The sequence below is a fragment of the Homo sapiens genome, chromosome 17 (genome assembly GCF_000001405.40).
Source record: "Homo sapiens chromosome 17, GRCh38.p14 Primary Assembly".
NCBI classification, from domain to species: Eukaryota; Metazoa; Chordata; class Mammalia; order Primates; family Hominidae; genus Homo; species Homo sapiens.
Window position 1 is genome coordinate 8,847,234 of NC_000017.11, and position 27,971 is coordinate 8,875,204.

The following is a 27,971-nucleotide window of genomic DNA, read 5'->3' on the forward strand; positions in this document are numbered from 1 at the left end:
GTCACACCTAGAGGGCCCCCAGTACCCAGATGCACCTCCTCCAGCCTACACCTGATCCTCCTTACCCCTATGCAGTATAAAGGCTCAGATTGTTTGGAAAACCTTTGCAATCTTACTCCTGTTTGCAGGCATGGCAAAATAACAATAGCCTTAGTGCCTCTGAAATATTGCTCTTTTGCATACCCTGAAATAAATATTTTACTTCTCAGGTACCCCTCTTCTTAACTGTAGGATGGGAGGACTCCAAGAGCTGTGGGAAGGTGGAGAGTGTTAAAAACAATCACAGGCCAGGTACAGTGGCTCACGCCTGTAATCCCAGCACTTTGGGAGGCCGAGGCAGGTGTATCACCTGAGGTCAGGAGTTCGAGACCAGCCTGGGCAACACGGTGAAACCCCGTCTCTACTAAAAATACAAAAAAAATAGCCGGACATGGTGGTGCATGCCTGTAATCCCAGCTACTTGGGAGGTTGAGGCTGGAGAATCGCTTGAACCTGGGAGGTGGAAGTTGCAGTCAGCCGAGATGGTGTCATTGCACTCCAGCCTGGGTGGCAGAGAGAGACTCTGTCTCAAAAAAAAAAAAAATCATAATGTGGAAAGACAACTGCAGTCCTGGTCATCCTGATTTGGGGATGTTTCCTTTTATCCACTGGATCTGGGAATCATCTGCCACACCTTTGGAGGGGGAAGTCAGTGGTTTCACCTGCCCAGCATCCCTCCCTGCTTATTGCAGTCTTGGTGGGACTGTGACCCAGGTGCCTACTTAGCTTCAGCCTTGGTGTGGGCACAGGACCAAGCTGCCCAAGGACTGATACTCTCTGTCTCTGTCTCTCTCAGACAGCCTTTTTCAGAGAATGGCCAGGAGGGAAGGACGCCTGGTGTGCTCTCCAAGGACACTGTCTATCTCTCTCCGTCCTTTTGGCAGGGCTACCCTTCCCCTGCCCTTTCTGGTGTCTGGTGCTTCAGCTTTTCCTTTGATGCTTGGCCACATTTTTAAAAAATGAAATTGGCCACATCAGTTTCTATTGCTTATATATAATAAACCTTTATTGGTGCACCTCTTTTCCTAAAAGACAGCATGGCATGTATTTATTGTTATAAAGTGAGTGCAAAGTAAGTTGGTTTTGAAATACCTTGATGTGTCACTTAACTACGGCGATATGTTCCGAGAAATATGTCACGGGGCAATTTCATCATTGTATGAATATCACAGAGTGCACTTACACAAACCTACACAGCATAGCCTACTACACACCTAGGCTACAAACCTACACAGCGTGTGACTGCACTGAGTACTGTAGGCAGTTGTCACACAATGGTATCTGTGTGTCTAAACATATCTAAACATAGAAAAGGTACAGTAAAAATATGGTACTCTCTTATGGGACCGCTGCTGTTTATAAGGCTCGTCGTTGACCAAAACATTGCCAATATGCAGTGCCTGACTGTATTTAGGAGATTTTCACAGAGCTTCCCCATTCCGAGCCTCCCACCCCAAACCCCAGCTGGTTACAGATGACCCAGAATATTGTAACACCAGGATTCACTGGGGTTGCCTGACTCCATGGAGCTACTTCTGATTGGACGAGGCTCTCTGAGGATGGATGGATGGTTGGATGGATGGATGTCAAAAGAATTTATGCCATAGGAATATTAGCAACCGAGCAGCTGACCCTGCCTAGGGGATGCCCTTCCCTTCCCCAGGAGATGGATCTTTAGGGGAATTAGAGTCTCAGCGTGGTGGCCTAAGGTGTGATCTTTGACTTTCCGGGTGACCAATAGATGACACACATCTTGGTGGGGGTTGGTCATCTTTCCCTGTTGTCCCAAGTTGACTTAGGGTAAGAGTCCAGGCTTTGAAAATCAGCCGGACTAGGCCCCACTTTCTGGCTTTGCCACTTACTAGCTGTGTGGCTTTGAGCAAATTATATAACCTCTCCAAGCCTCAGTTTACCTCTCAGAAAAATGAGGATAATCATCGTGCTAGCCCCACCTCACAGAATCCTTCTGGCATTTTTGCGAAGCAATCCATACTGAAATCATTAAGCCTAGACACTGGAGCTAGACTATTGGGTTCCACTCCTGATTTGACCACTCAATAGCTATGTGACTGGGGGAAAAGTACCTGCCCCTGGCATGCCTCCATTTCCCCTCCTGTAAAACGAGAGTAATAATACCTGTCTTAGGAGGTTAACCAAGACTAAATGAGTTCATATTTGTCAAGTGCTTTTATCCCTCCTCAATCCATTGTAAGTGCTATATAGGTTTTTGTTAAATAGTCACAAGTATTTGGCAATCAATCTTGGCTATTCTTGTCATTATTCCCATTGTCAAGCTCAGTGTCCAGCGAGCAGTTGGAGCCTTGTGCAAGTGTGTAGATGTCCAACTCTCAAGATGTTCTTACATTTAGGCAGGATCCCTGAATTGGGGTCTTGCAGCCTGTCTATGTGCAGGGGGTCCTGCCAGCCCTAGAGGCATCCTCACCCATGAGAAGGGCCTTCCCCACTCGGCAGCAGGCTCACTAGACCCCTTTCCCCCCACCACACTGACCTGAGCTCTCCATGGGAGCCTTTGGGTGTAGGAGGAGGAGGATGTGGTTGTCTCGGGCAGCAGAATAGAGAACAAGGTGGTTGCTTTTCTGCACAGAGGTGGTTCTGCAAAATAAGAGGTAGTTAATTAGTGGAAGCAGTGGGAAGGTGCAGAAAGCACCTTGGGAAATGGAGAAGCTCCTAAGGGACCTAGGCTTCTAGCACACTGGGGGGAAGTCTAGATGTATTTAAGAAAACTTATGACTGGGTGCAGTGGCTCATGCCTGTAATCCCAGCACGTTGGGAGGCCAAGGCGGGTGGATCACTTGAGGTCAGGAGTTCGAGACCAGCCCAACAAACATGGTGAAACCCCGTCTCTACTAAAAATACAAAAAATTAGCTGGGCATGGTGGCAGGTGCCTGTAATTCCAGCTACTCAGGAGGCTGAGGCAGGAGAATCGCCTGAACCTGGGAGGCGGATGTTGCAGTGAGCTGAGATGGTGCCATTGCACTCCAGCCTGGGCAAGGGTGAGACTGGCTCAAAAAAAAAAAAAAAAGAAAGAAAAAAGAGAAAACTTATATAGTGCTTACTATGTGCCAGGCATCACTCTTCTAAGCACTTAAGAAATGCCAACTTTTTAATATTAATATTAAGCTTATGAGGCAGGTTCTATCTCTCCCCCCTCCCCAGTTCTGCAGATGGGGAAACTGAAACACAGAGAGGGTAAATAGCTATTCAAAGTTAAATAGCTAGTAAGCAAGGAATGAGGACTTGGAACTCAGACCGTCTGGCTCTAGAGCCCTCCCTTAAGCATGACCTCTGTCTGCTCCACTGTGACCCCAGTGGGAGGTCCTCCCAGAGTCTGCTCCCCAGAGCGATAAACCCAATGACTAGAACGCAGAGGAACTCCAAATAAACCTAAGAGATTGTTTTTGGAGAGAAAACAAGCGAACAAACAAACAAACGTATAACTGGGAAAGCTAATCTAAAAAGAGATAACGAAGAGACAATATTAGAAATGATAAATGTCATATATATATTTCTTTATACCAAAAAAGAAAATCTGAGTCCCCTGTGTCGCACATGGTTTTCTAGGACAATAAAAATGACTCAAAAGGCTCTAGAAGAGTTAGAAAAACTGCTTATATTTGTAACCAGTGAGGAAATAGAGACAGTTGTCAAAGAACTAGCTCTAAGAGAGTGGTGTCTGGCTCAGATAGTTCTTCTGATAAGTTTTTTCAAACCTACAAAGAAAATATCTACGTTATTTAATCTGCTCCAAAGCATGGAGAAAGAAGAGAAGATTCTCAGTTTATTGGACAAGGCCAGCTTCACCTTGATACCAAAATCTAATAAAGGTAGTTAAAAAAAAAATGGATCACGCACTTCACACCCATTGGAATGACCATTTTAGATATACAGAAAAAAAAAACAAAAACAAAAAAACAAAAAACCGGCCGGGCACGATGGTTCACTCCTGTAATCCCAGCATTTTGGGAGGCCGAGGCGGGCAGATCACGAGGTCAGGAGATGGAGATCATCCTGGCTAACATGGTGAAACCCTGTCTCTACTAAAAATACAAAAATTAGCCGGGCGTGGTGGTGGGCGCCTGTAGTCCCAGCTACTTGGGAGGCTGGGGCAGGAGAATGGCGTGAACCCCGGGAGGCGGAGCTTGCAGTGAGCCGAGATCGCGCCACTGCACTCCAGCCTGGGCGACAGAGTGAGACTCCGTCCCAAAACAAAACAAAACAAAACAAACCAACCAAACAAAAAACCACAAAATAACAAGCATTGGCAAGGATGTGGAGAAATTGGATTTGTTTGGAGTCCCCCTGCTTTCCAGTCATTGAGTTTATTGCTCTGGGGCGCAGACTCTGGGAGGATGTGGTGCATTGCTGGTGGGAATTCAACATGGCATCGCCGCTGTGGAAAATCGTATGGCATGTTCTTCAAAAAGTCAAGCATAGAATTATCACATGATCTAACAATTTCACTTTTAGGTAAAGACCCAAACGAATTGAAAACAGGAACTCAAACAGATACTTGCACACCAATATTAATAGAAGCATTATTCAAAACAGCAAAATGGTAGAAGCAACTCAAATGTCCATCAACAGAGAAGCAATGAACAGATAAACAAAATATGATTTATACATAGAGTGGAAAGTTATTCAGCCTTAAAAAGGAATGAAATTCAGATATATGCTGCATCATGGATGAACCTTGAGAACATTATGCTGAGTGAAGTAAGTCAGTCATAAAAGGACAAATATTGTATAATTCCACTAATATTAGATACCTAGAATAGGCAAATTCACAGAGGCAGAGACAGCAAGTATGACAGAGGTTACCAGGGACTGGGGAAGGGATGAAAGGGAAGTTACTGTTTAATGGGTACAGAGTCTCTGTTTGGAATGATGAGAAGGTTCTGGAAATGGATAGCAGTAATGGTTGCTCAATATTGTGAATGTACTTAATGCCATTGAATTATATACTTAAAAATGGTTAAGATGGTAAATTTTACATATCCATATTTTACCAAAATAGCAAACTAGACCACACTTACATGCAAATATCGATATAACATTTAAAAGTAGATATCAACTCATTGAATTCAGCAATGGATTGTAATTATAATGTACTACAATTTCAGCCTACTGACAATCATAGAAATGAATATTAAAATGAGAGTGGCAGGCCAGGTGCGGTGGCTCACACCTGTAATCCCAGCACTTGGGGAGGCCGAGGTGGGCGGATCATGAGGTCAAGAGTTCGAGACCAGCCTGACCAACGTGGTGAAACCCCGTCTCTACTAAAAAATAAAAAAATTAGCCAGGTGTGGTGGCGTGTGCCTGTAATCCCAGCTACTTGGGAGGCTGAGGTAGGAGAATCACTTGAACCTGGGAGGTGGAGGTTGTAGTGAGTCAAGATGTCGCTACTGCACTCCAGCCTGGGTGACAGAGGGAGACTCTGTCTCAAAAAAAAAAAAAAAGAGAGAGAGTGGCAAAAATTATGACAAAAGATAATGACATCCAGTATTGGCAAGGATAGGATATGAGAAAATTTCCAGTCATACATAGTTGGTGAGAAGAGAAATTAGTATAGCCTTTCTGGGTGATTGCTGGACAATATTTATCAAAATTCAAAATATTCATACTTTTTTGTCTAAGCAATTCGACCTTTAAAAACCTATCTGAAGGGAAATATTGGACAAATGGATAAATGATATGTACAACAGCATTCATTAAAACATTGTTAACAATAGAGTACAACCAGAAAAAAAAAATAAAGGCACAATTATAGAGTACCAAGTAAATAAATTAATCTGTGCAACAAAATACTATGCAGTTATAAAATTATGGTGTACATCTGTATTGGCTGAATTCGGAAGATACAATACCATTTACAATAGCTCCAAATTTTTTTTTTAAATAAATATTTAGGTGGGGCGCAGTAGCTCACGCCTGTAATCCCAGCACTTTGGGAGGCCGAGGGGGGCAGATCACAGGATCAGCAGATGGAGACCATCCTGGCTAACATGGTGAAACCCCGTCTCTACTAAAAATACAAAAAATTAGCCAGGGGTGGTGGCGGGTGCCTGTAGTCCCAGCTACTCGGGAGGCTGAGGCAGGAGAATGGTGTGAACTCGGGCAGTGGAGCTTGCAGTGAGCCGAGATTGTGCCACTGCACTCCAGCCTGGGTGACAGAGCAAGACTCCATCTCAAAAAAAAAAAAAAATAATAATAATAATAATAAAATAATAAATAAATATTTAGAGATAAATCTAACAAAACGTGCAGGAGCCATATGATGAAAACTATGAAATGCTAATTAGATAAATCACAGAAGACCTAAATAAATGGAGAGAAATACTGTGTTCATTGTTTGGAAGACCCAGTATAGTTAAGATGTCAATTCTCAGCCAGGCACAGTGGCTCACATCTGTAATCCCGGCACTTTGGGAGGCCAAGGGGGGCAGGTCACGAGGCCAGGAGATCAAGACCATCCTGGCTAACATGATGAAACCCTGTCTCTACTAAAAATGGAAAAAATTAGCTGGGTGTGGTGGCATGCGCCTGTAGTCCCAGCTACTCGGGAGGCTGAGGCAGGAGAATCGTTTGAACCCAGGAGGCGGAGGTTGCAGTGAGCTGAGATCATGCCACTGTACTCTAGCCTGGTGACAGAGAGAGACTCCGTCTGAAAAAAAAAAAAAAAAGTCAATTCTCTCCAAAATCATTTACATATTTAAGGTAATTCCAATAAAAATACCAGCAGGATTTTTTTTTGTAGATACATATAAGTCAATTCTAAAGTTTATAGGGAAAGGCAGAGGAATTGGATTAGCCAAACAGTTTTGAAAATGAATAATGCCTGAGAACTCACACTCCTTTATTTTTATTTTTTTTTGAAACGGAGTCTTGCTCTGTCGCCAGGCTGGAGTGCGATGCGTGATCTTGGCTCACTGCAACCTCCGCCTCCTGGGTTCAAGCAATTCTCCTGCTTCAGCCTCCCAGGTAGCTGGGACTACAGGCACACGCCACCATGCCCAGGTAATTTTTGTATTTTTAGTAGAGACAGGGTTTCACTATGTTGGCCAGGCTGGTCTTGAACTCCTGACCTCGTTATCCTCCCGCCTCGGTCTCCCAAAGTGCTGGGATTACAGGTGTGAGCCACCACGCTCAGCTTCGCACTCCTTATTTTAAGAATTACTATAAAGTTATTAGTGAAGGGCTAGACACATAAATCAATGGAACAGAACGAAGAGTTCGGAAGCAGGCCCACACAGATATGGCTAATTGATTTTTGATAAAGTTGTAAAGGCAAGTCAATGGAGAAAGGAGTCTTTTCAACAAATGGTGATGGAACAATTGATCATCGATATGCAAAACAAGAAGCAAAACCTTGACGTAAATTCCAGACCTTACACAAAAATAAACTAAAAGTGGACATAGATTTGAATGTAAAATTCAAAACAATAAACTTTTAGAAGAAAGCATAGGAAAAAATCCTTGTAACCTCATGTGAAGGAAGAAGTTTTTAGATACAATACCAAAGCATGATCCATAAGAGGAAAAACATGACAAATTAGACTTCATCAAAATTTAAAACTTTGGTTTTATGACAGATACCTTTAACAAAATGAAAAAACGGGCCGGGCACAGTGGCTCACACCTGTAATCCCAACATTTGGGAGGCCAAGGTGGGTGGATCACCTGAGGTCAGGAGTTCAAGACTAGCCTGGCCAATATAGTGAAACCCCATTTCTACTAAAAATACAAACATTAGTTGGCTGTGGTGGCTCATGCCTGTAATCCCAGTTACTCAGGAGGCTGAGGCAGGAGAATCACTTGAACCCGGGCAGCAGAGGTTGTAGTGAGCTGAGATCGTGCCACTGGACTCTAGCCTGGGTGACAGAGCGAGACTCCATCTCAGAAACAAAACAAAACAAAACAAAACAAAACAAAACAACAATAAAATAAAATAAAATAATAAAATAAAATGAAGAAGCAAAGTATAGACCTAGAGAAAATATTTGCAAATCACATCTGACAAAGAAAAAAAAAAGAAAACTAGGATAAATAAATAACTCTCAAAATTCAACAGTAAGAAAACAAATAATACTCCCCAAATGGGCAAAAGATCTAAATAAATACTTTACTAAAAAAGATATGTGGATGGCAAATAAACACATTAAAAAAATGCTCAATGCTATCAGCAGTTTGGGAAAGGCAGATGAAAACCATGAGATCTCACTATATGCCTATTAGAATGACTAAGATTTTAAAATGAGCAATAGAAAGTGCTGGAGAGCACACGGAGGAACTGAAATTCTCTCTTTTTAAAAATTATACTTTAAGTTCTGGGATACATGTGCAGAACGTGCAGGTTTGTTACATTGGTATACACGTGCCATGGTGGTTTGCTGCACCCATCAACCCGTCAGGAGGAATTGGAATTCTCATACGTTACTGGTGAGAATGCAAAATGGCACAGCCGTTCTGGAAAACAGTTTGACAATTTCTCATAAAGTTATGCGTCACTTACTGTATGATCCCGTAATCCCTAGCTTTTTCCTCCAGAGAAATAAAAACTTATGTTCACACAAACACCTGCTCATGGATATATATAGCAGCTCTATTCAGAATGGCCCCAAACTGGAAACAACACAAATGCCTTCAGTGGGTACGTGAATGAGCAAACTGTGATACACCCACACAGCAGAATCCTCGGCATTAAAAAGAGAACTACGTGCAACGACACGCGTGAATCTCAGAGACATGCTGAGTAAAGGCAGCCAGGCGCTAAATCCTGCATGCCGTATGGTTCCATTTATATGACATTCTAGAAACGAAAATAAAAACTACAGGGTCAGAAAATAGGTCAGTGTCAGATAAAGGAGTCTTTATCTCTTTTTTAGTCAAACTTTTAATTCTGAGATAACTGTAAATTCCCATGCAGTGGCAAGAAATAGCACAGAGTTTCTGGGTACCCTTTACCCAGTTTCCCCCCAGTGATAACATCTTGCAAACAATGTTACTGTATCAAAATCAAGATATTGGTCAGGCGTGGTGGCTCACGCCTATAATCCCAACACTTTGGGATGGTGAGGCAGGTGGATCACTTGAGGTCAGGAGTTCGAGACCAGGCTGGCCAAAATGGTGGAACCACGTCTCTAATAAAAATACAAAAATTAGCCAGGCATGGTGGCAGGTGCCTGTAATCCCAGCTACCCGGGAGGCTGAAGCAGGAGAATCGCTTGAACCCAGGAGATGGAGTTTGCAGTGAGCTGAGGTCTTACCACTGCACTCCAGCCTGGGTGAAAGAGTGAAACTCCATCTCAAAAACAAACAAACAAAAAACCCCAGGATGTTGATGTCGATACATTTTATTCCGATTTCCCCAGTTTCACCTGTACTTGTGTGTGTGTCAGTCTCTTACCTTTTAATGATACACACTAAACTACAAAAAAAGTGATATTACTTACCCATAAACAGTGGGGTCACAGGTAATTTTTAATACATTTCTACATTTTCTGATTTCTTAATCTTAAGTATATTTGACCTTATTTTTTACTGTGTAACAGATGGCACACACAAAAGAAGAGAGCTAATATATTATGTTCAGGGACATAGTAATTACATGAACATCTGGGAGCCCGCCAGTCAATTTAAGAACGTTGTGCTGTGGGTTTAACGTAACCTTTGCACACCCCTGCCTGGAGCACCCTTCCCCCAGCTTTCCCCACAGCTGGCTCCCCCTCGACATTCAGGTCTTGTTGTCAATGTCACTGCCTCAGAGGCCTTTCCTGAACATCCTGTCCAAAATAGCCCTCCCTGTCACACTCTAGCACACTCTGATTTTATTCATAGCATTTATCAGTATGGAAATTTTTCCTGTCAGGCTTAGTTTTCTTGGCTAGTCATTAGAATGCGAACTCGGCAAATACTGGGATGGGGCGTGTCTCCTTCACTGCAGCATGTCCAGCATCTAGGGCAGCAGCCACTCAGTGGACAATGAATACCTATTTTAGATAAATATTTGATGAATGAATGAAAGTGAAGAATATTGCCAAAAGCCACGTGGCCATGAAGGATAGAACCAGGGCTAGAGCCCAGATCTCAACCTGGGGCGTGGGGTCATGGCCACTTCCCCTGACGTCCGCATGCCTTCCTTTCCCCTCTGTAAACCTCACAGAACCCCCCTCTGTCTTTGTGAAATAAAATGAACACAAACTTCTGTCTGGGGCGGCCTGGGTTAATAATGAACACGGGGCAGCCTCGAAAGAAAAGAAATCTCACAGATAAAGACTAAAAGAGAAGTGTAAGATACCAGGAATTTTTGTGGCAAATGGAGAGTGCTTCTGGGCTGATTTTTAATTGAAAGTAAAATTCCCCTTTGGGAGGCTGAGGCAGGCGGATCACAAGATCAGGGATCGAGACCATCCTAGCTAACATGGTGAAACCCCGTCTCTACTAAAAATACAAAAAATTAGCTGGGTGTGGCGGCAGGTGCCAGTAATCCCAGCTACTTGGGAGGCTGAGGCAGGAGAATCGCTTGAATCCGGGAGGCAGAGGTTGCAGTGAGCTGCAATCGTGCCACTGCACACCAGCCTGGGCAACAAGAGTGAAACTCTGTCTCAAAAAAAAAAAAAAAAAAGGGAAAGTAAAATTCTAAGAAACTTTACCAGTAACTGTCAGAAAGCCTCCCTATTCATTTGCTCATTCCTTCATTCACTCACGCATTCACTCATCAAACATTTATTCAGCGTTTCTATATATTTGTGCAGGTGCTGCTTCCTTGCTCCTCCCACAGGAGACCTTTGTGGTCGATTTCCTGTCCTTTGGGGCTGCTGACCACACCAGTGTGGGGGAAGAGCCCCCAGGGGATGAGCTTGCACGTAGACAGGAAATGGAAATAGAAGCAGCTCATTCTTAAAATGCATCAACATCAAATGTGTCTTCGTTTCAGGAATGAGAAGAATTTTTTAGGAAATAAAGCTTGCCCTTTCAAGCACCAAACCATGCCTCTGAATGTTTTCTCAATTAATCTTTTTTTTTTTTTTTTTTTTTTTTTGAGACAGTTTTGCTCTTGTCGCCCAGGCTGGAGTGCAGTGACGCGATCTCGGCTCACTGCAACCTCCGCCTCCTGGGTTCAAACGATTCTCTTGCCTTAGCCTCCCTGAGGCTAGGAATTACAGGCACCCGCCGCCACCCCTGGCTAATTTTTGTATTTTTAGTAGAGACAGGGTTTCGCCATGTTAGCCAGGCTGGTCTCGAACTCCTGACCTCAGGTGATCCACCCACCTCGGCCTCCCAGAGTGCTGGGATTAGAGGCGTGAGCCAGGCGCCTGGCTGTTTTCTCAATGAGTCTCAATGGAAGCTCATTGTATGCACCGTGCCATAAAACGGTGGCGATGGCAGGAGCTATCAGTAGGCGAGGGTAGCCCTATCCTACATTGAGTGGCTGTTACTGTTTGACTTCTCATGTATGATTCCTCATTTCAGCAGCACCAGCTGTGTTCTGCACTTAGTGGGTGAGTGGAGGCTGCAGTCCAGCCCACCGCTCTGCTGGCCTTTTTGTAATTTACTCAGGCAGGGAGGGTGAGGTTTTGCAATTCATCCATCCAAAGAGGAACTTGCTGTAATTTGTCTACTCAGAGGGGTGCCTCTTTCTGATTTGAACAAAGTGCCTTCTGTGTTGGCTGCAGCCCTGCCTGGGCTGTGTCTGCTCCTCCACCCAACTGCCAGTTTGCTGAAGGCTGGGAAGCCGGAATAAGCACATGCAATTGTCTTGTATGTAAAATGAAGAAACAAAGCCTGAGAACTGATCAATGAAAAGAGCATCAAACTTCCATCCATGGACTTGCAACTTCTATTTGCTCAGAGGGCCCTCTGGCTGTCTTCTGAGTTCCTGGCAGTGTTTTGGGTGGCTGAGGTTGGTGAGTAAATCAAAGAGCCTCTTCAGAACATAATCCATGGGGCAGAAATTGCACAAGACCTGAGAGGTTAGAGATGAATGAATGAGACATAGTCCTTGCCCCCTGGGGTGCGTGGTCTACCAGTCTGTCACCTCATAATGACCGCAGGGTGGCTGTACTTGCCCAAGACCCCTGGAACAGACGTCACACACCTATGGCCCACCATTAGCACACTGAAACTGTCTCACCGCCCCATGCACGCAGCATGCTTGTGATGGTTTATGTGTCAACTTGACCAGGCCAAGGGAGGCCCAGATGGCTGGTGAAGCATTATTTCTGGAGGTGTCCATGAGGCTATTTCCAGGAAAGATGAGCATCTGAATGCAGGGAGTGAGTCAAGATCTGCCCTCAGCCATGTGGGTGGGCATCACGTGATCTGCTGAGGGCCTGAATAGGAGAAGAGGGAGGAGGAAGGGCAGATGTGCTCTCTGTGCTTCAGCTGGGACATCCATCCTGCCCTTGGACAAAATCAGCGCTCTTGGTTCTCCAGCCTTCGGACTTGGACTGAGACTGACGCCGTCATCTTCCCTGGTTCTCAGGCCTTTGGACTCAGACTGGAATTACACCACTGACTTTCCTGGGCCTCTAGTTTACAGACCACGGATTACAGACTTCTCAGCCTCCACAATCACAGGAGCCAATCCCTGCTAATACATCCTTTTGTTCTCTACCCACTCCCCACCCACCTCCCAGTCTCTCTCTCTATCCTATTTGTTGTGTTCCTCTGGAGTGGCCTGACTAATACAATGCTTAAGAAGACTAACCATTTCGCAGACTCATGTAAGAGACTCTCAGAGACTTTGCTCTGTCTAGTATATTTTTAAAATTCACTTTTCACATAAAAAACCATGCGTATGGTAAAAATCTGAAAGGCACAGATAGCTATGCAGTGAAAAGCCAGACTCCTTCTTAGCTATCCTCTGGCCCAAGGGTCCCCAAACCCCAGGCTGCGGATGGGCACTGATCCGTGGGCCGTTAGGAACTAGGGACACAGCAGCAGGTGAGTGGCTGGTGAGCCACCAGGACCGCCTGAGCTCCGCCTCCTGGGGCGGGGGGCGGTGTGGGCATAAGATTCTCATAGAAGCTCGAACCCTATTGTGAACTGCGCATGCAAGGGATCCAGGCTGCCCGTTTCTTAAGAGAATCTAATACCTGATGATCTGAGGTGGAGCAGTTTCATCCCGAATCCATCCCCATCCCCAGCCCCAGCCCCAGCCCCCTTCCCCACCCAGTAAACCCCTACCCACCCCCAAACCCCTTCCGTGGAAAAATTGCCTTCCATGAAACTGGTTCCTGGTGTCAAAAAGGTTGGGGACCACTGCTCTGGCCCATCAGTTTCCTTCCCCAGGAGAAGCCACAGTTTTTGGAAATTTGAATCTGTGGCCAACATTTAAAAGTCATATTTCATATAAAAATCAAGATTTCCAGCTTTTGCTTAAAATAAGTAACTGGAAGATCTAGCAACACCAGACCCACAATCTCGTGTGGCAACAATTAGCTGGAGTTGACATGCAGCTTCCCTGTAGAAGGGCCATGTGCTCCCCAGGGCTTCAGTGTCCCTATTGAGTTCACAATGGGGACTCTGAAGCCGGGGGCAGTGCCAGGCACACCACACCAGCACTATCAGCCTGTCCACATCATCATTTATGCTACCTATTGGGCTCTTGAAAGCAGACACGGGCCGGGCACGGTCACGCCTGTAATCACAGCATTTTGGGAGGCCAAGGCAGGTGGATCACAAGGTCAGGAGTTCAAGACCAGCCTGGCCAACATGGTGAAACCCCGTCTCTACTAAAAATACAAAAATTACCTGGGTGTGGTGGTCCCAGCTACTCAGGAGGCTGAGGCAGGAGAATTGCTTGAATCTGGGAGGCAGAAGTTGCAGCGAGCCAAGATCGCGCCACTGCACTCCAGCCTGGGTGACAGAGTGAGACTCTGTCTCAAAAAAAAAAAAAAAAAAGAAAGAAAGAAAGCAGACGTGTTGGCAATCCATGTTCTATATTGTGGTTCAAGTTGTGGTTCACAAAGAGAAAAGTTAATTGCAGAATGTCTGAAATGGGCTGGGCATTAGGGTTGCCACACAGGGCCCATAGAAGTCTTTCAACAAACACAGTGCATCTCTGTACTTCTCCCTAGCACCCGATGCCCTATACAGCAATCCTCCCTTATCTGCAGTTTCACTTTCTGCAATTTCAGTTGCTCAAGGTCAACTGTGGTCCAAAAATATTAAATGAAAAATTCTAGAAAGAAATGACTCCTAAATTTTAAATTGCACACTGTTCTGAGGAGCATGATGAAACCTCTCACCGTTCTGGTCTGTCCTGCCCGGAATGTGAAGCGTCCCTTTGTTCAGTGGGTGTACACAGTGTGTGCTACCTGACTGTAAGCCACTTGCTAGCCATCATGGTTATCAGATAAACTGTCGTGGTATCACAGTGCTTGTGTTCAAGTCACCCTTATTTTACTTACTCATGGCCCCAAGTTGCAAGAGAAGTGATGCTGGCAATTGAGATATGCCAAGGGGATGCCTAAGACCTCCAATAGTACTGAACCTGGCTGCTGTCAGTCAGCCAAGGAGAAGCTGTCAAGTGCTTCCTTGAAGTGAGTGAAAAGGCGAAAGTTCTCATCTTAACAAGGAAAGAAAAAAGTCGTATGTTGAAGTAGCTAAGATCTATGGTAAGAACAAATCTTCTAGCCATGAAATTGTGAAGGAAAAACAAATTTTTGCTAGTTTTGCTGTCTCAGCTGAAACTGCAAAGTTATGGCCACAGTGTATGATAAGTGCTTCATTAAGATAGAAAGGGCATTAAATGTGTGGGTGCAAGACCTGAGCAGAAATGTGTTCTGATTGACAGCAGCCAGGTTCAGTACTATTGGAGGTCTGAGTCATCCCCTGGGGGTCTTGGAGTGTGTCCCCTGCAGGTAAGGGGACTACGCTATTGCATTTGTTTATTATCTGGCTGCTGTCACTAAAATATAAGCTCCCCATGGGAAGGGGCTCCATTTTGCTCACTGTTGAGTCCCCATTACCTGACACTGTTTATACCACATGGAAGGCCCTTGATAAATATGCTCGAATGAATGAATGTCAGGCACTCATATGAAGACAAGGCAGAGTCACTGTCCCAAAGCTACTCTTGGGCTGGATGACAGAAACAAGTTTGTTGGGCATGGTTGCTACAATAAATGACACAGGAAACAGAGATTACTTTGATGCTCAGAATACTGCAAAGAAGACACTGGTCCCATAAGAAATGTGGAGACAGACACAATGGTGAGAAGGACATTGTGCCTCACTGACCTGGCAGCTACCTCTGTCACCTGGGGGTGGCTGATCTTTCTCGGGCCGTATCACGGACAGCTAAGGCTGCAATGTTTGACTGCTGCTTTTGTGCCACAAGGGCAATGTGCAAGGTACTGACCAATCAAACATGCCATGAGCATGTTTTAGATGAGCATGTCAGGGCTCATCTAAAAATTCCTCTCCCTCCCCCCGTAGCGCAAGAATACGACATTACAGGACAGCAATACACCATCCTCCGCCCACAGTCAGCAAGACTCCTGGCAGCCAAAATAGGCAGCGGGAAAGTGGCTGAGGGACAAATCCCAACAACCTGGGAGATGTCCTGTGGTCACTCCCCACCCACTGTGCCCACTCACTTACACTGCCCACAGCATTCACTCATGGTTTCACTTATTCCATAGTTCCTGAGCACCTTCTATGTGTCAGACATTGTTCCAGGTCCCAGGGATGTGGCAATAAGTTAAAATACACAAAATGCCTGCTCTCAGAAAGTTTGCACTCTAGTGGGTGTGTAGGGGACAGAAAATCAACCAAATAATTAAATCGTATATGATAAGTGCTATAAGAATAAAGTTGGGAAGGGGAAGGAGGGGTTCTAGAGTTGGGGAGGGGTGTGCAGTGTCTAGATATAGATACATGGATATGTAGATATTTAAATATAGATTTAAATTTAAACTTTTAAATTTTATTGTCAATTGATATATTATAATTGCATATATTTATGGGGTACAAAGTGATATTATGATAGACGTATATAATGTGGAGTGATGAAATAAGGCTAATTAACATATCCATCTAATACCTATCCTTTTCCTGGTGAAAACATTTGAAATATTTACTCTCTTAGTAATTGTGAAATATACAATACACCATTATTAACTATAGTCACCCTAATGTGCAATGAATCTCAGAAACCGTATTCCTCCCATCTAATGAAAACTTCATACCCTTTGACCAGCATCTCCCTATTTCCCCCAACCCCCAAGTGTGTGTGTGTGTGTTTTTTTTTGAGACAGAGTTTCGCTCTGTCACCTAGGCTGGAGTGCAGTGGTGCGATCTCGGCTCACTGTAACCTCCACCTCCCAGGTTCAAGCGACTCTCCTGCCTCAGCCTCCCGAGTAGCTGGGACTACAGGTGCACACCACCACGCCCAGCTAATTTTGTGTATTTTAGTAGAGATGGGGTTTCACCATGTTGGCCAGAATAGCCTCGATCTCCTGACCTCGTGATCCACCCGCCTCGGCCTCCCAAAGTGCTGGGGATTACAGGCGTGAGCCACCGCGCCCGGCCAGTTTCCAAAAGGATGATGAGAGAGATCTCCTGAGGAGGTGCCATTTGAGTGGGAACCTAAAAAAGGCCCGACAGCAAGCCATGCGGTATCTGCAGGAAGAACGCTCTAAGCAAAGAGAATAGCCAAGTCCTGAGTTGCAAGGGTGCCCAGTGTTTTTAAGGGACAGCGTTTGGGGTGCAATGAGTGGGGGACACTAGGAAGATGTTGGGAGACAATTCTCCATAGGTTTCTGTTTGTGCATGCCTGGTGAGCATTCTTCTGCACCATCTTTTCAAATACGTTTGTATAGCAAACAGCCTTGGAAGATACTGTCCATTCTAGGACAGAAGACTAATTTGCTGTCAATATAATAGAGATAATGTCTCCTTTCAGGGTAAAAGTTGGGCAGGTTTGTTTGCAGCTCGTCATGAAAATTTGGGGTTTCCTAGGCTCAGGGTTCCTGGGCTATGATGCAACAGAGTCCATTTGGATTGGGCTCCTTGCGGCGCCCCTAGGACTTAGGGGAAAGGGGGACCTATAATCACAATGTTCATGCTCCTAGTTGTGCTGTGAGTAATAGAGTTCTTTGTCTCTGACTCTGGAGTCTCATGTCTTCTGCTGGTGACCATGAAGCTGTGGTGGGCTAACTTGTTAGTTCTAAGTTAACTTATAACTAACAGATCCTTCTAACTTATAACCCAGGTCCTTCACAGCTCTTTTTTTTTTTTTTTTTTTTTTTTTTTTAGACAGAGTCTCACTCTGTCGCCAGACTGGAGTGCAGTGGCGCAATCTCGTCTCACTGCAACCTCTGCCTACTGGGTTCAGGTGATTCTCCAGCCTCAGCCTCCCGAGTACCTGGGACCACAGGCGCCCGCCACCACGCCCAGCTAATTTGTTGTATTTTTAGTAGAGACGGGGTTTCACCGTGTTGGCCAGGATGGTCTCGATCTCTTGACCTCGTGATCCACCCACCTCGGCCTCCCAAAGTGCTGGGATTACAGGCGTGAGCCACCGCACCCAGCCCCTTCACAGTTCCTGGCAGAGGGATGAGATCAGAGACAAAGAATGAAGGGATGAATGAATTGGGATTCAGAGAGCATTCTTCCTTAAACACAGAACATCAGCACTGAACAAGTCGCAGGCCAGGTGCACACACACAGCTCATCACTCCCTTGGGGTACAACAAGCCCAAGGACTGACCACAGAACCATAGAAGCCTTCTATGGACACGGCAAAAAGAAGCAAATGGGGACCACCTGTTCACAGCTGCTGCTCCCTGTTGTTGGTGTGAGATAAAGTGGGGGTGACCTCCTGGATAGAGGAGAAGACTGAAGTAAGAGGGCTTGGAGGAAGATCTGAGGAAGCCTGGCTCAGGTTCAGAGTTTCTGAACCTGAAGATTCTGAACATGAAGATTCCAGATCTGACTGTCCCTTGTGCCCCCATCCCCCCAGCTCACCATTGCTGGCTTCTCGGACAAGCTGTTCAGACAGAAGAACCCACCACCTAGGCCTCCCTATACCTGCAGGAATAAAGCCTGGGCAGAAAAGATGTGGAGCTTCCAGGCCTCCCTATACCACAGCTGCAGGAATAAAGCCCTGGCAGAAAAGACGGGGAGCTTCCCAGGGCCACACTCTGTCTGCCTCCTGTCCTCCAGCCACTCCTGTGGCACAGAGAGAGGGGACCTGCAGAGCCTGGGTCACCTGCCTCTGTTGCCTCCCCTCTTCTCCCACCAGAGCTGCCTCGTGCCCTCAGGGTTTCAGGGGCAGCTCAGGCTTGCCAGACGTCATAGCTGTGTTTTTTTTTTTTTTGGATCGGAGCGTGTGGTGAGTGAGCTGGCAGTGAGGGACTAAGGGAGTGAGAGGACAGAGCTCTGGGTCCTGAGGGGGCCCCCTCAACCTTTAGCCCTTGCCCCCATGAGGTCTACTTCTCAGATTCCCAAGGAGCCGGGAGGTGAGGGTCCTGCTGCCCTGGCTGGCCCCCGTGGACAAGGACAGGCCTGTTTCCTCAGCTGTGTCTGCTTCTGGCTGGAAGGAAACACCTGGATATGAAAGAGCCAGTGGGGTGGGGGTGGGGGAGCATTGTTCCCAGGGGCAGGGAAGCTTGGTGGGATCTGAATTCAGGTGGGGCCTGAATGCAGCAGGGACCAGATGGCGATGACTGCAGCTTGGCATCTGCAGCCACCGTGTCAGCCGAGGCGCTTTCGTGGAGACAGTGTAGGGCCTGCAGCAGGTTCTAGTGTGAGGCAGCGGGGCATGGTGGCCAGGCAGGTGGCATTCCAATCCTGTTAATAGGGCAACTTGGGCTGCTTGCTTAAAACCTCCGTGCCTCAGTTTCCCTATCTTAAAGGGGACCTGACAACAACACCTACCTCATAGGCTTGTCATGAGACTAAATGAGATGATATTTGAAAACCACATAGAGCTAAATAAATAAATGGACCGGGCCAGGCGCTGTGGCTCATGCCTGTAATCCCAGCACTATGGGAGGCCGAGGTGGGTGGATCACGAGGTCAGGAGATCAAGACCATCCTGGCTAACACGGTGAAAACACAAAAAATTACTACTAAAAATACAAAAAATTAGCCAGGCGTGGTGGTGTGTGCCTGTAGTCCCAGCTACTTGGGAGGCTGAGGCAGGAGAATCGCTTGAACCCAGGAGACGGAGGTTGCAGTGAGCCGAGATCGCACCACTACACTCCAGCCTGCGCAAAAGCGTGAGACTGTCTCAACAACAACAAAAAAGGACCGGCCTGCGAGTGCTCCACACACCCCCTCTAGCTGTGCTCCCCCCAACACCTGACTTTCCCACTTGCTTTCCTGCCTCTGGGGGTTTGCACACTTTGCTCCCCATTGCTGAGGTGCCTCTTGCCTCCTCTTTGCACACCAGGTCCTCCCTTGAGCCTCAGCCAGGCACCACCTTCCACGGGACCCTCCCTGAGCCCGCACCCTGCAGTCTCTTTCATCCTGCACACACCACACACCTCCTGGCTCGCTGAGGACCCTGAAGGTTCTGAGTTGGTCACTCGCAGCTGTGTTCAGACCCTCTTTGCAAGCAGTCAGCCCTTCAAGGACAGAGACCAGGCCTCGGTCAGACTCTGGCACACATAGAAGATACTGGATTTGTGTATAGGAAGAGAATCAGCCAGACCAGCATGACTTTCACCAAATTCCCCAGGAAAGTGATGGGCAGATGATGTCCCAGAAAGGGCACAGACTGGGACCCAGATGTTTCACACTGAGTCCTGCTCCTTGCTAACCCACTCTGCAATCTTTGGCAAGTTGCTTCATCTCCCTAAGCCTCAGTCTTCTGTTCTATAAAATGGCACTAAAACACTTATCCAGTCAACCTCTAAATGCTGGTGAGAATCAAATGGGAAAATGGGTGTACTCTGCAGCACCGGGCATCAATCATTAGTCCTATTATTAACAGCATGTACAGGATTCCAGAAGAAAGGAGAGTCCTTCTCACAGGGTCCCGTGTCTTTTCATCTTGTGAAAATGGGCTGAAACAATCTTAACTTGGCAGAATTACCCTGCAGTGTCTGAGGTCACCCTTCTCAGAAAGACGGCCCTGGCAGCCCTGAGCCTGGATAAATAAGAGCCAGGGGTGTTTCAGCCCCCCCAGGGGCTCCCCTTCCAGGTCCCTCCGTTCCACCCCTCTATCTGTTCTGCTCAGATCTGCCTGCCTGGCGATCTCCATCCAAGCCAGCACTTACCTTGGTTCGGTGGCAGCTTCTGGGCTCCCCAAGTCCTTCAGCCAACTCCCCACGGTCCTGAGCGAGGTCCCCAGTCCCAGAGAAGCAGATGTCTTGGGGGAGCCTCCACGGGTGTCTGTGGTCTTGACTGTGCTCTTCAGATCTGCAAAGAAAAGCTCGATGTCTCACAGCTCTGTCCCCTCCTCTTCCTTCCCCTTCCTTGTGGCCCTCGAAGCTCCTCCCAGAATGCATTTTGCTGTGAGGATCCTTTCTAAAGAAGCATGACCCACGGTCACTGGAGGTCCTTTATTCTGATCGAATGTGACCAATTTTATGGGGCAGGAGGGGGACACCTCCCAAGAGACTCCCTCTGGTGTTGACGGGGGAGGGACTGATGCAGGGAGCCCTGACCTCTCTCTCAAGCTCCAGACTCACCAACCATCCCCCACCCCTGGACATGGCCAGCCAGATGTCCCTCAAGCACCTCCATCTCAACAGGTACAAACCGAGCTCATCATTTCTCCCTCTAAGCCCACTTCTCTGTTTCCTGCCTCAGAATCAGCAACCTCGGTATCATCCTAACGCCTCCCTCTTCCTCGCCTGTTACATCTAAACTGCACCAAGCCCTGTCAATAGGTCATGGATCCTCCACTTTCTTCCATCCCTATGGCTGTCACTGTTTCACCTGACTACCATGGTCTTTCTCCTGAAACACTACAATAGCCTGAGGTCCTTCACCCCACAGCCAAAGGTCTCTTTCTAAGAGTGAAACACAAATCTATTCATGTTACACTCCTGCTACAACCTTCAATGGCTCCTTATTACTTTAAAGAGAATGGCCAAACTCCTCAGTGTGACTTGCCAGACCCTTCTTGATCTGGTCCCTCCCTAAACTCCAACCTCATGCTTTATCCCCTCACTCCAGCCCCTCCCAGAAGTACTGCAGTCTCTTAACTATCCAGGCTGTGGGAATCACTTCCCAACCCTTCTCCTGGCTCATCCCTTGTCATTCATTATTTATCAGAGAAGAACAAAAAAACAAGCCTAAGAGGCAGGAGGAAAGTGGAGTGCCAGGGATGCTGGCAGAAGACAGAATGCCAAGGAGGAGACAATGGTCAACGACGCCAATGATTGTGGAGAGGACACAGGTGAAGAGAATGAAGAAGCATCTGCTGTCCTTGGCAATTAGGAGAGAGCAGTGCTGGGCAGGAACAGTAGACCTGCTGGGGGAAGTTGATCAACCGCATGGTGACACATTTGCTACTTTGTCATTTTCTTTTTTTCACATTTTGAAGTCAAACACTATTTGGGAGAGTCTCTGACACATTTCTAGAGCTTTGAAAAACTCACAGATTCTATGCTGTCATCCCGTTGGGCCTAATGGGTAAATGGCTCTAGAGAGTGACAGATTGCTGACAGCAGGGTTTGAGTGCTGGATCCAGCTATGCCTGAAATTCTGGGGCTGAATCTACTCTTGGACTGTTCATTGTACATGATCCAATAAATTCCATTCTTTTTTGGATTAAGCCTGTTGGAGTTTGTCACTTGGCTCAACTCAGAGAGCTTTGGGGCTGTGAAGTCACTGATCCTTTCCCGTAGGGGCTTGACTAGGTTCTATGCTGACCTTTCATTTTGCAGAGGAAGCTATTTGGAAAAAAAGTCCAGAAATGTAAATCATTTACTCTATTGCTGTGCCTTCCTCCCATAACTGCTTCTTTTCTGTCCCCTTCATGTGACTGAAGTCACATTCTATCTTGCATCTTTGTATTAGCGTTCTCAGCTCACATGTCTGCCTTGTTCCTCCCTCAATGAGTCCTGAAAGAGCAGGGGCTAGAGTGTTGTTCATTATTCCGTCCATCACAGGGTGAAAGAGTGTTAAGAGAATGCTTGGCTTATTTATGAAGCAAATGGGTGACTGAACGAAGGAAACGAATACGCCCAGGACAGAATAAAGGACCAAGAACTCAGCCCCTGCAGGTTCCAGACTCAGCAGCAGCTGGGCAGTGTGGCCACCCTGGGCAGCGCCTCTCCTTATCAGCCTTGGCTTAACTGAATCGGAAATCACAAGCCGAGGTCACTTCTTGTGGGTGCACTGCTCTCTTTATCATCAGCTGCCATTTCTGCAACTGCATTTGCTGTGGTACCCATAGAGGGGGCAGCTTGGTGACCATAGAGAGCCCCAGAGCTGTCCCTTGCAAAGAGGAGCTAGGGTGCTTTCATTTTTGAGTGCACACGGCTGACCGCCAGCCAGGAACAAAGGACAGTGGGAGGAGGAGGTGACAATAGGAAGGACCAAGTTCCCCCACGGACCCCAGTGCACCGTCCCTACCATCACCAAGGCAAGGCAGCACTACCCCTTTTGCCAATCCCAGCCATGTCTTTCCTCTCCAGACCATGTTCTTAGGATTTGTTTAATCTGGGTTTTCCAGGCTGTGCTCTTACCAGGTTTCTCATCTGCACCAGTCTCCAAAGAGCAGCCCCCTCTTTCCCTGCCAAAAGGCAAATGATCCGTCAGCATCAGAACTGTAAAAATTAAGGTTCCCTGCTTTCACTGTACTAGTTCCCAGATGACCTGGTCAGCTAATGGAGGCAAAGACCCCCCAGAATGATCAATGCCCAAGATACAGAAGCAGAAGGCCCACCATCTATTGTCACTCCCCTTCCTCCTCCTCCTTCTGCCACCCTCCTCTGCCAAGTGAGGGTCCCCACTCCTGGTGACCCTTCTGGGCATAGCTGCAATGGCCTCTCTTCAGGTTCTCCTATCTCAGCCAGGGTGTTTGGAAGTCTGTTTACATAACTCGCCTTGGGGTTACAAAGTTACTTACCTTCTCTACAGATGAACCACTGTTTCCAATCCATCCTCATCCATTTTCTAATCCATTACAAAGCCACTGAGAGCTTTAAACAAAAATTAAATCTTCTTGCAACTGTGGACAGAGCCACGGGTGAGGAGGGCCAGGTACCAGCATTGCGGAGGTCTGCAGGACCACAGTATTGGAGTCAGGCAAGAATTACATGCTTAGGAAAAGAGGTCCCCAGGGTCGCTTGTGTCCTCACCTGCAGTGCCACCCACCGTGGGAGCTGCTCTGGGATTATTCAGCATCGAAGGCGGCAGAATTTGTCATTTCAGTTTTCTAAGGAATCCACTTACATAAAATACTAATAAGCAAAGTCAATTTTACTAAAGATTATGTAGGAGGATGAAGGGAGTGTACATCACACGTCTCTTGGCAAACTATTCAAAAATCCTCTGTGGATAGTTCTGAGGATCCCGACGTCCCTCCTCCATGCCATGCCATTGGAGCGGGCAGCCTGGAATGGGGTGGGCTTTTGTGCTTTTTCCTGTCTCTCTTCTCCCCATGTGACCCTGACTCATTAGCGTCGGTTCCTCCCTCCTAGATTTTTTTCACAGACATATCCAAATTGTCTTCGAAGCCCATTCAGAGCACTGTAATTCCATTCTAATTCTCAACTCCCCACTTTTCTACCCCAAATTCATGACTGCCACCCACACAGATAGCTCTCTGGTTGGCAGGACCCATTTTTAGAAAACCGTGAGAGGTAATAAACCAGAAAAGAGCTGTTAGGAAAACACATTTTGATTCGTTTAAACAATCACCTCGTGAGTCAGCTACAGTTACACAGATAGGTTAAGTTTAAACGCTCTCATCCCTGGTGGAGGTGAGACTCGACACACTGCCTCGGCACAGGCAGTACCCAACTGCGGGGCACCTTTGCCTCTGGTGCAGTCCCTCCAGCTCTTGCCCACGGCCCAGAGGCAGGCAGGACAGCGTCATGCTCTAAGCCACTGGTTCGCTAAGGGTAGTCCCTGGACTGGCAGCATCAGCATTGCCCTGGAAATCCGTTATCAACTAGTACTGTCTGCTGTGGCTGTGGAAAGGGAGGAACAGTGCACACCTCGGGAATTTTCCATCCTTTACTTCCAGCAGCGTTATTTGGCAGAGTGCATGCAGAATCAGGACTAATTGGGGTGATAGAAGAAGCGGATTTATGCTTCATATCCAACCAGTCACCTTCTCAGCTATTTTTCTTATTTTTGGTGGTGGTGGGGAAGTTTTTATTTTAAATGCCATCAATGTTCTTTTTTTGTTAAGCTGTAATGTTTAAAAAACTAGTCAAGTAGGCCAGGCACGATGGCTCATGCCTGTAATCCCAGCACTCTGGGAGGCCGAGGCAGGTGGATCACCTGAGGTCAGGAGTTCGAGACCAGCCTGGCCAATGTGGTGAAACCTCGTCTCTACTAAAAATACAAAAATTAGCCTGGCATGGTGGCCGGTGCCTGTAATCCCACCTACTTGGGAGGCTGAGGCAGGAGAATCACTCAAACCTGGGAGGCAGAGGTTGCAGTGAGCCAAGATTGTGCCATTGCACTCCAGCCTGGGTGACACAGCAAGACTTCGTCACAAACAAACAACAACAAGAAGAACAAAAACTACTTAGGTAATCCATAAATATATTTCCATTATAAAAACACTCAAGCATTGTAGGACCCTAAGAGGAAAAAAGGAGGGTCTCTCTCCTCCCCCTCCTCAATTTCTTTACCCTCCCACCCAGTGATAACCATGGTAAATAGCTTAGGGTAGTTTATACATGTGAGCACCATACAAATCGCTCTTTAACTTGCTTTGTTTACTTGAAGATCACGATATATTGGTACATAAGGATCAACCACATTCTTTTCTTACATTTAAATGTACATGTTTGTTTGGACTAGTTACACATTTACAGGGTTCGAAATGGGAAGGACACAGAGAAGATCAGTCACTCCCTCTTCCGAAAGCTGCCCTTCAGGTGAAGAAAACCTTGTGACCTCCTCCTTCTCTTTTGCGGGTGCAACTGTCCCCTCTCCCAAACTCCTTGGTACTGGCAGCTCTGTGATGAGGTGAGAGGGCAGACACTTTGGGGTTGCTGTGGAGGGCGGGGCCTGGTCTCTTCTCATTTCCCCTGTTCTCATGGCTGCCTTGAGAGGGAGACCAAGTGGACCCCTGCTTCCTCTCCCTCTGCCCCTAATACCGCAGGTTCCTCCTTGGACAGGCTTTTGCTGGTGGAGCTGAGCTGGGGAGGTGTTAGGAGTCTCTTCATCTGCATGATATGCATATCACCCTCTCCATTTTCTTTTTCCAAATGAACTCACACCAGGAAGTGGAACAAATCAAGATGGCTGGGGTCAACCAGGAAATCAGTGAGAAAACGCAAAGACCCCAACTTGCATTATTTATGCAAATTGCCTGCCCTCCAAACATGTGCAGGACCACACACCCACTCATGTGCACACGCACACACACACACACACACACACACGCACGCATGCACACACTGAGCTACACCCCCAAAAGTAAGCCAGGCTACCTGGCTGGGCCCTCATCCTGGCACGTGCCTCTCACTCTGTGTGACCCTGTGCAGGCCTCTCCCAGTCTCTGGGCCTCAGTTTCCTCCTCTGTAACCTGAGGGGCTGCAGATTGGGTTTGCAAAGCCCTCCTCAGCTTTCTCAGCCCCAAAACGATTCTGTTCTGGCCTCAGAGACTTTCGGCTACAGTTTTGCTCAGAGAAGGCCTCTGGTCCCTGGTTGCAAGGGCCCCTTCCTTGGGTGTGTGGGGGTGGGGGCCGCTCTGCTCCCTCCCTCCTCTTCCCCAGAGGTCTCGGGGGACCCCCTTCAGTCTGCTCTGGAGCCAGGAGCGACATTCACCATTCACCGAGGGCTTCCTTCCTGACTGCCCTCCCCTTAGCAGTGGTCCGCGCAGACCAGCCTGGAGTCCCGCCAACCCAGTCTGGCCCCAGCTTCCTCTCCTCCTCTATGCCCCCTCCAACTTTTCCACCCCTGCCACTCCCACCATTCCTGAGGGTGTGTGAACACAGCTTCTATTTTGAAGCTATCAGAGCGTCTCCAGCGTTCCATTAGAAACGAAGCCATTCTTCTCAGACATCTGTGTGATCCTTTTCATGGCCTCAGCTTACCCACCACCCACACGAGAGGTTCCAGAGAGCAGCAGAGATTAGTGGTTAAGCGCAGGGACTCTGGACCCCACCTGTCTGTGCTTAAATCCTGGATTCCCCTTTTTACTGTCTCTGTGAGCTTGGACAAGTTACTTGTCTCTGCCTCAGTTTCCCTGCCTGTAAAAGGGAGCATAATTGTACCTACCTCATGGGGCTGTGGCACAAATGAGTTAACGTAAGCATGTAAAGCACACAGAGCAGCGCCTGACACGTGCTCAGTAAGTGCTGAAAGTGTTTGCTGAGAGGTCAGTTCACTCGACGCAGACATTCACAGGTGATTCTCTGTGCAGGTTGCAATGACTGAGACGCTGCACCTTTGAGCTGGAAATATCTGAGATCCTTCGAACAAGCGCCATTTCTTCCCACTCCCCCCGTGCAAAGAGTGGCAGACACACGTACCTGCTGTGACCACAGCCATGTCTCCAGGGAGCCCACACTCAGAGTCTCCGGGGCTGTGGTCCGAGCCGGGACATAGGTGTGCCTGAGCACAGAACAGAGAGAAACAAGCTGGCACGCCTGGGGACAGAGTCTGCCACCTGCCTCACTTTGCCCCCAGAGGGATGGGGGATGGCACCCTCTCCCAGGAGGCATTTCCTTTACCCTGATTTTACTGGTATGGTTGGGGGAAGAAAGAGAAGGATTCAGAGACTTGGGGAAAGGAGGAAGTGGATTCTTCCTCAAGAAAATGGGGGAGCCCTTTCCCCAGGGAAGCTGTGAACATTACCGGTGCTGGAGTGGGTGGCAGTGTGGCAATGCGGGAGGGGCAGTCTGAAGGCCCAGGGCAGGCACCAGGCTGGCTGGGTCCACACAGCATCTCGGGTGTGCCTGGAGCCGCAGGGGCTGAAAACTGTGCTGCTTCTGCTTTGGGCAGACAGGGGGCTGCGGGCTTCTTGCCCTGGAGGCTGTGGGAGAGCCCTTTCCCCGGGGGGAGGCATGACTGGGATGCCAGGGACTTCAAGGAGAGGTCTGAAGATGGTGATAGACCACTACCTTCCGGCCCCTAGAAGAAGCTCCCAGCTACCTGAGGAGAACAAAGAGGTGTAAGCCATTGTGTCTGGAGGAGCCCCCTCTCGGTAAGGCTTCTGCTCACAGGGAGCCCTGTGTTGTACCTGAGCGAGTTAGAGAAAACGCCACACTTTGAGATGAATTAAGAGTCTGTTTATAGTTAGTGATTATTACCAGTAGTTCTTTAATTTACGGGTCTTCATAAGATGTACTGTACAATGCTCAATTGTTATGTCATTTAAAGACATCAGGTTCATCTGTTTACTGAGCTAGAAACATAGTATGTAGTTTCACTTTTTAAAATGCAACAGCTGTGCTGAAATTTTTTTTATCATTAACACTTGAAGTAATAAAATAGGCTTCATTTATTTAAAAAAAATAGAGTCCGTTTATTTAGCCGGTGGTCAAGAGACGGCTAACGCTCAAAATTCTCTTGGCCCCGAAGAAGGGGCTAGATTTTCTTTTATACTTTGGTTTAGAAAGGGGAGGGGGATCTAGTTAAAACAATTTTACAGAAATAAAGTAGGCAAAAAGTTAAAAGGATAAATGGTTACAGGAAAGTAAACAGTTCCAGGTGCAGGGGCTTTAAGACTATTACAAGGTGATAGACGCGGGGCTTTGGGCGTTATCAATCGGACGAATTCCTGGGAACTGCGGATATCACTCGCCACAGTATC

General features: G+C 47.2%; 1 protein-coding gene and 1 long non-coding RNA gene across 19 annotated transcripts in view, besides 7 other annotated features; one reads left to right on the top strand and one right to left on the bottom strand.

The window, feature by feature from the left end:
• The window catches only part of PIK3R6 (phosphoinositide-3-kinase regulatory subunit 6), a 64,956-nt gene extending 44,512 nt beyond the window's left edge, over window positions 1-20,444 (bottom strand). For 17 of the 18 annotated variants that reach the window (NR_110865.1, XR_007065269.1, XM_047435450.1 and 14 more), the window contains exons 1-2: window positions 20,296-20,444; window positions 2,549-2,652 (exon numbers count right to left, since the gene is read on the bottom strand). Coding sequence is in view for 15 of the 18 variants with exons in the window: in XM_047435450.1 (XP_047291406.1) it covers window positions 2,549-2,561 (13 nt within the window). In the remaining 3 variants the exon portion in view is untranslated. The remainder of the gene's footprint in view (window positions 1-2,548; window positions 2,653-20,295) is intronic. The other variant, NM_001010855.4, reaches the window with a different exon arrangement.
• Window positions 12,207-12,466: an enhancer, noted in NCBI's record as "active region_11706". NCBI's record gives its function as "activates an Ori minimal core promoter by ATAC-STARR-seq in GM12878 lymphoblastoid cells {active_cell/tissue: GM12878}" and the evidence as "EXISTENCE:reporter gene assay evidence [ECO:0000049][PMID:35858748]".
• Window positions 15,087-15,166: an enhancer, noted in NCBI's record as "active region_11707". NCBI's record gives its function as "activates an Ori minimal core promoter by ATAC-STARR-seq in GM12878 lymphoblastoid cells {active_cell/tissue: GM12878}" and the evidence as "EXISTENCE:reporter gene assay evidence [ECO:0000049][PMID:35858748]".
• Window positions 17,667-17,736: an enhancer, noted in NCBI's record as "active region_11708". NCBI's record gives its function as "activates an Ori minimal core promoter by ATAC-STARR-seq in GM12878 lymphoblastoid cells {active_cell/tissue: GM12878}" and the evidence as "EXISTENCE:reporter gene assay evidence [ECO:0000049][PMID:35858748]".
• Window positions 17,787-17,926: an enhancer, noted in NCBI's record as "active region_11709". NCBI's record gives its function as "activates an Ori minimal core promoter by ATAC-STARR-seq in GM12878 lymphoblastoid cells {active_cell/tissue: GM12878}" and the evidence as "EXISTENCE:reporter gene assay evidence [ECO:0000049][PMID:35858748]".
• Window positions 18,037-18,386: an enhancer, noted in NCBI's record as "active region_11710". NCBI's record gives its function as "activates an Ori minimal core promoter by ATAC-STARR-seq in GM12878 lymphoblastoid cells {active_cell/tissue: GM12878}" and the evidence as "EXISTENCE:reporter gene assay evidence [ECO:0000049][PMID:35858748]".
• Window positions 20,210-20,389: an enhancer, noted in NCBI's record as "active region_11711". NCBI's record gives its function as "activates an Ori minimal core promoter by ATAC-STARR-seq in GM12878 lymphoblastoid cells {active_cell/tissue: GM12878}" and the evidence as "EXISTENCE:reporter gene assay evidence [ECO:0000049][PMID:35858748]".
• Window positions 20,420-20,569: an enhancer, noted in NCBI's record as "active region_11712". NCBI's record gives its function as "activates an Ori minimal core promoter by ATAC-STARR-seq in GM12878 lymphoblastoid cells {active_cell/tissue: GM12878}" and the evidence as "EXISTENCE:reporter gene assay evidence [ECO:0000049][PMID:35858748]".
• On the top strand, window positions 20,541-21,800 carry LOC107985071 (uncharacterized). Its single transcript, XR_001752787.2, has 2 exons — window positions 20,541-20,772; window positions 21,299-21,800. It is a non-coding gene; the product is annotated as an uncharacterized LOC107985071 (long non-coding RNA).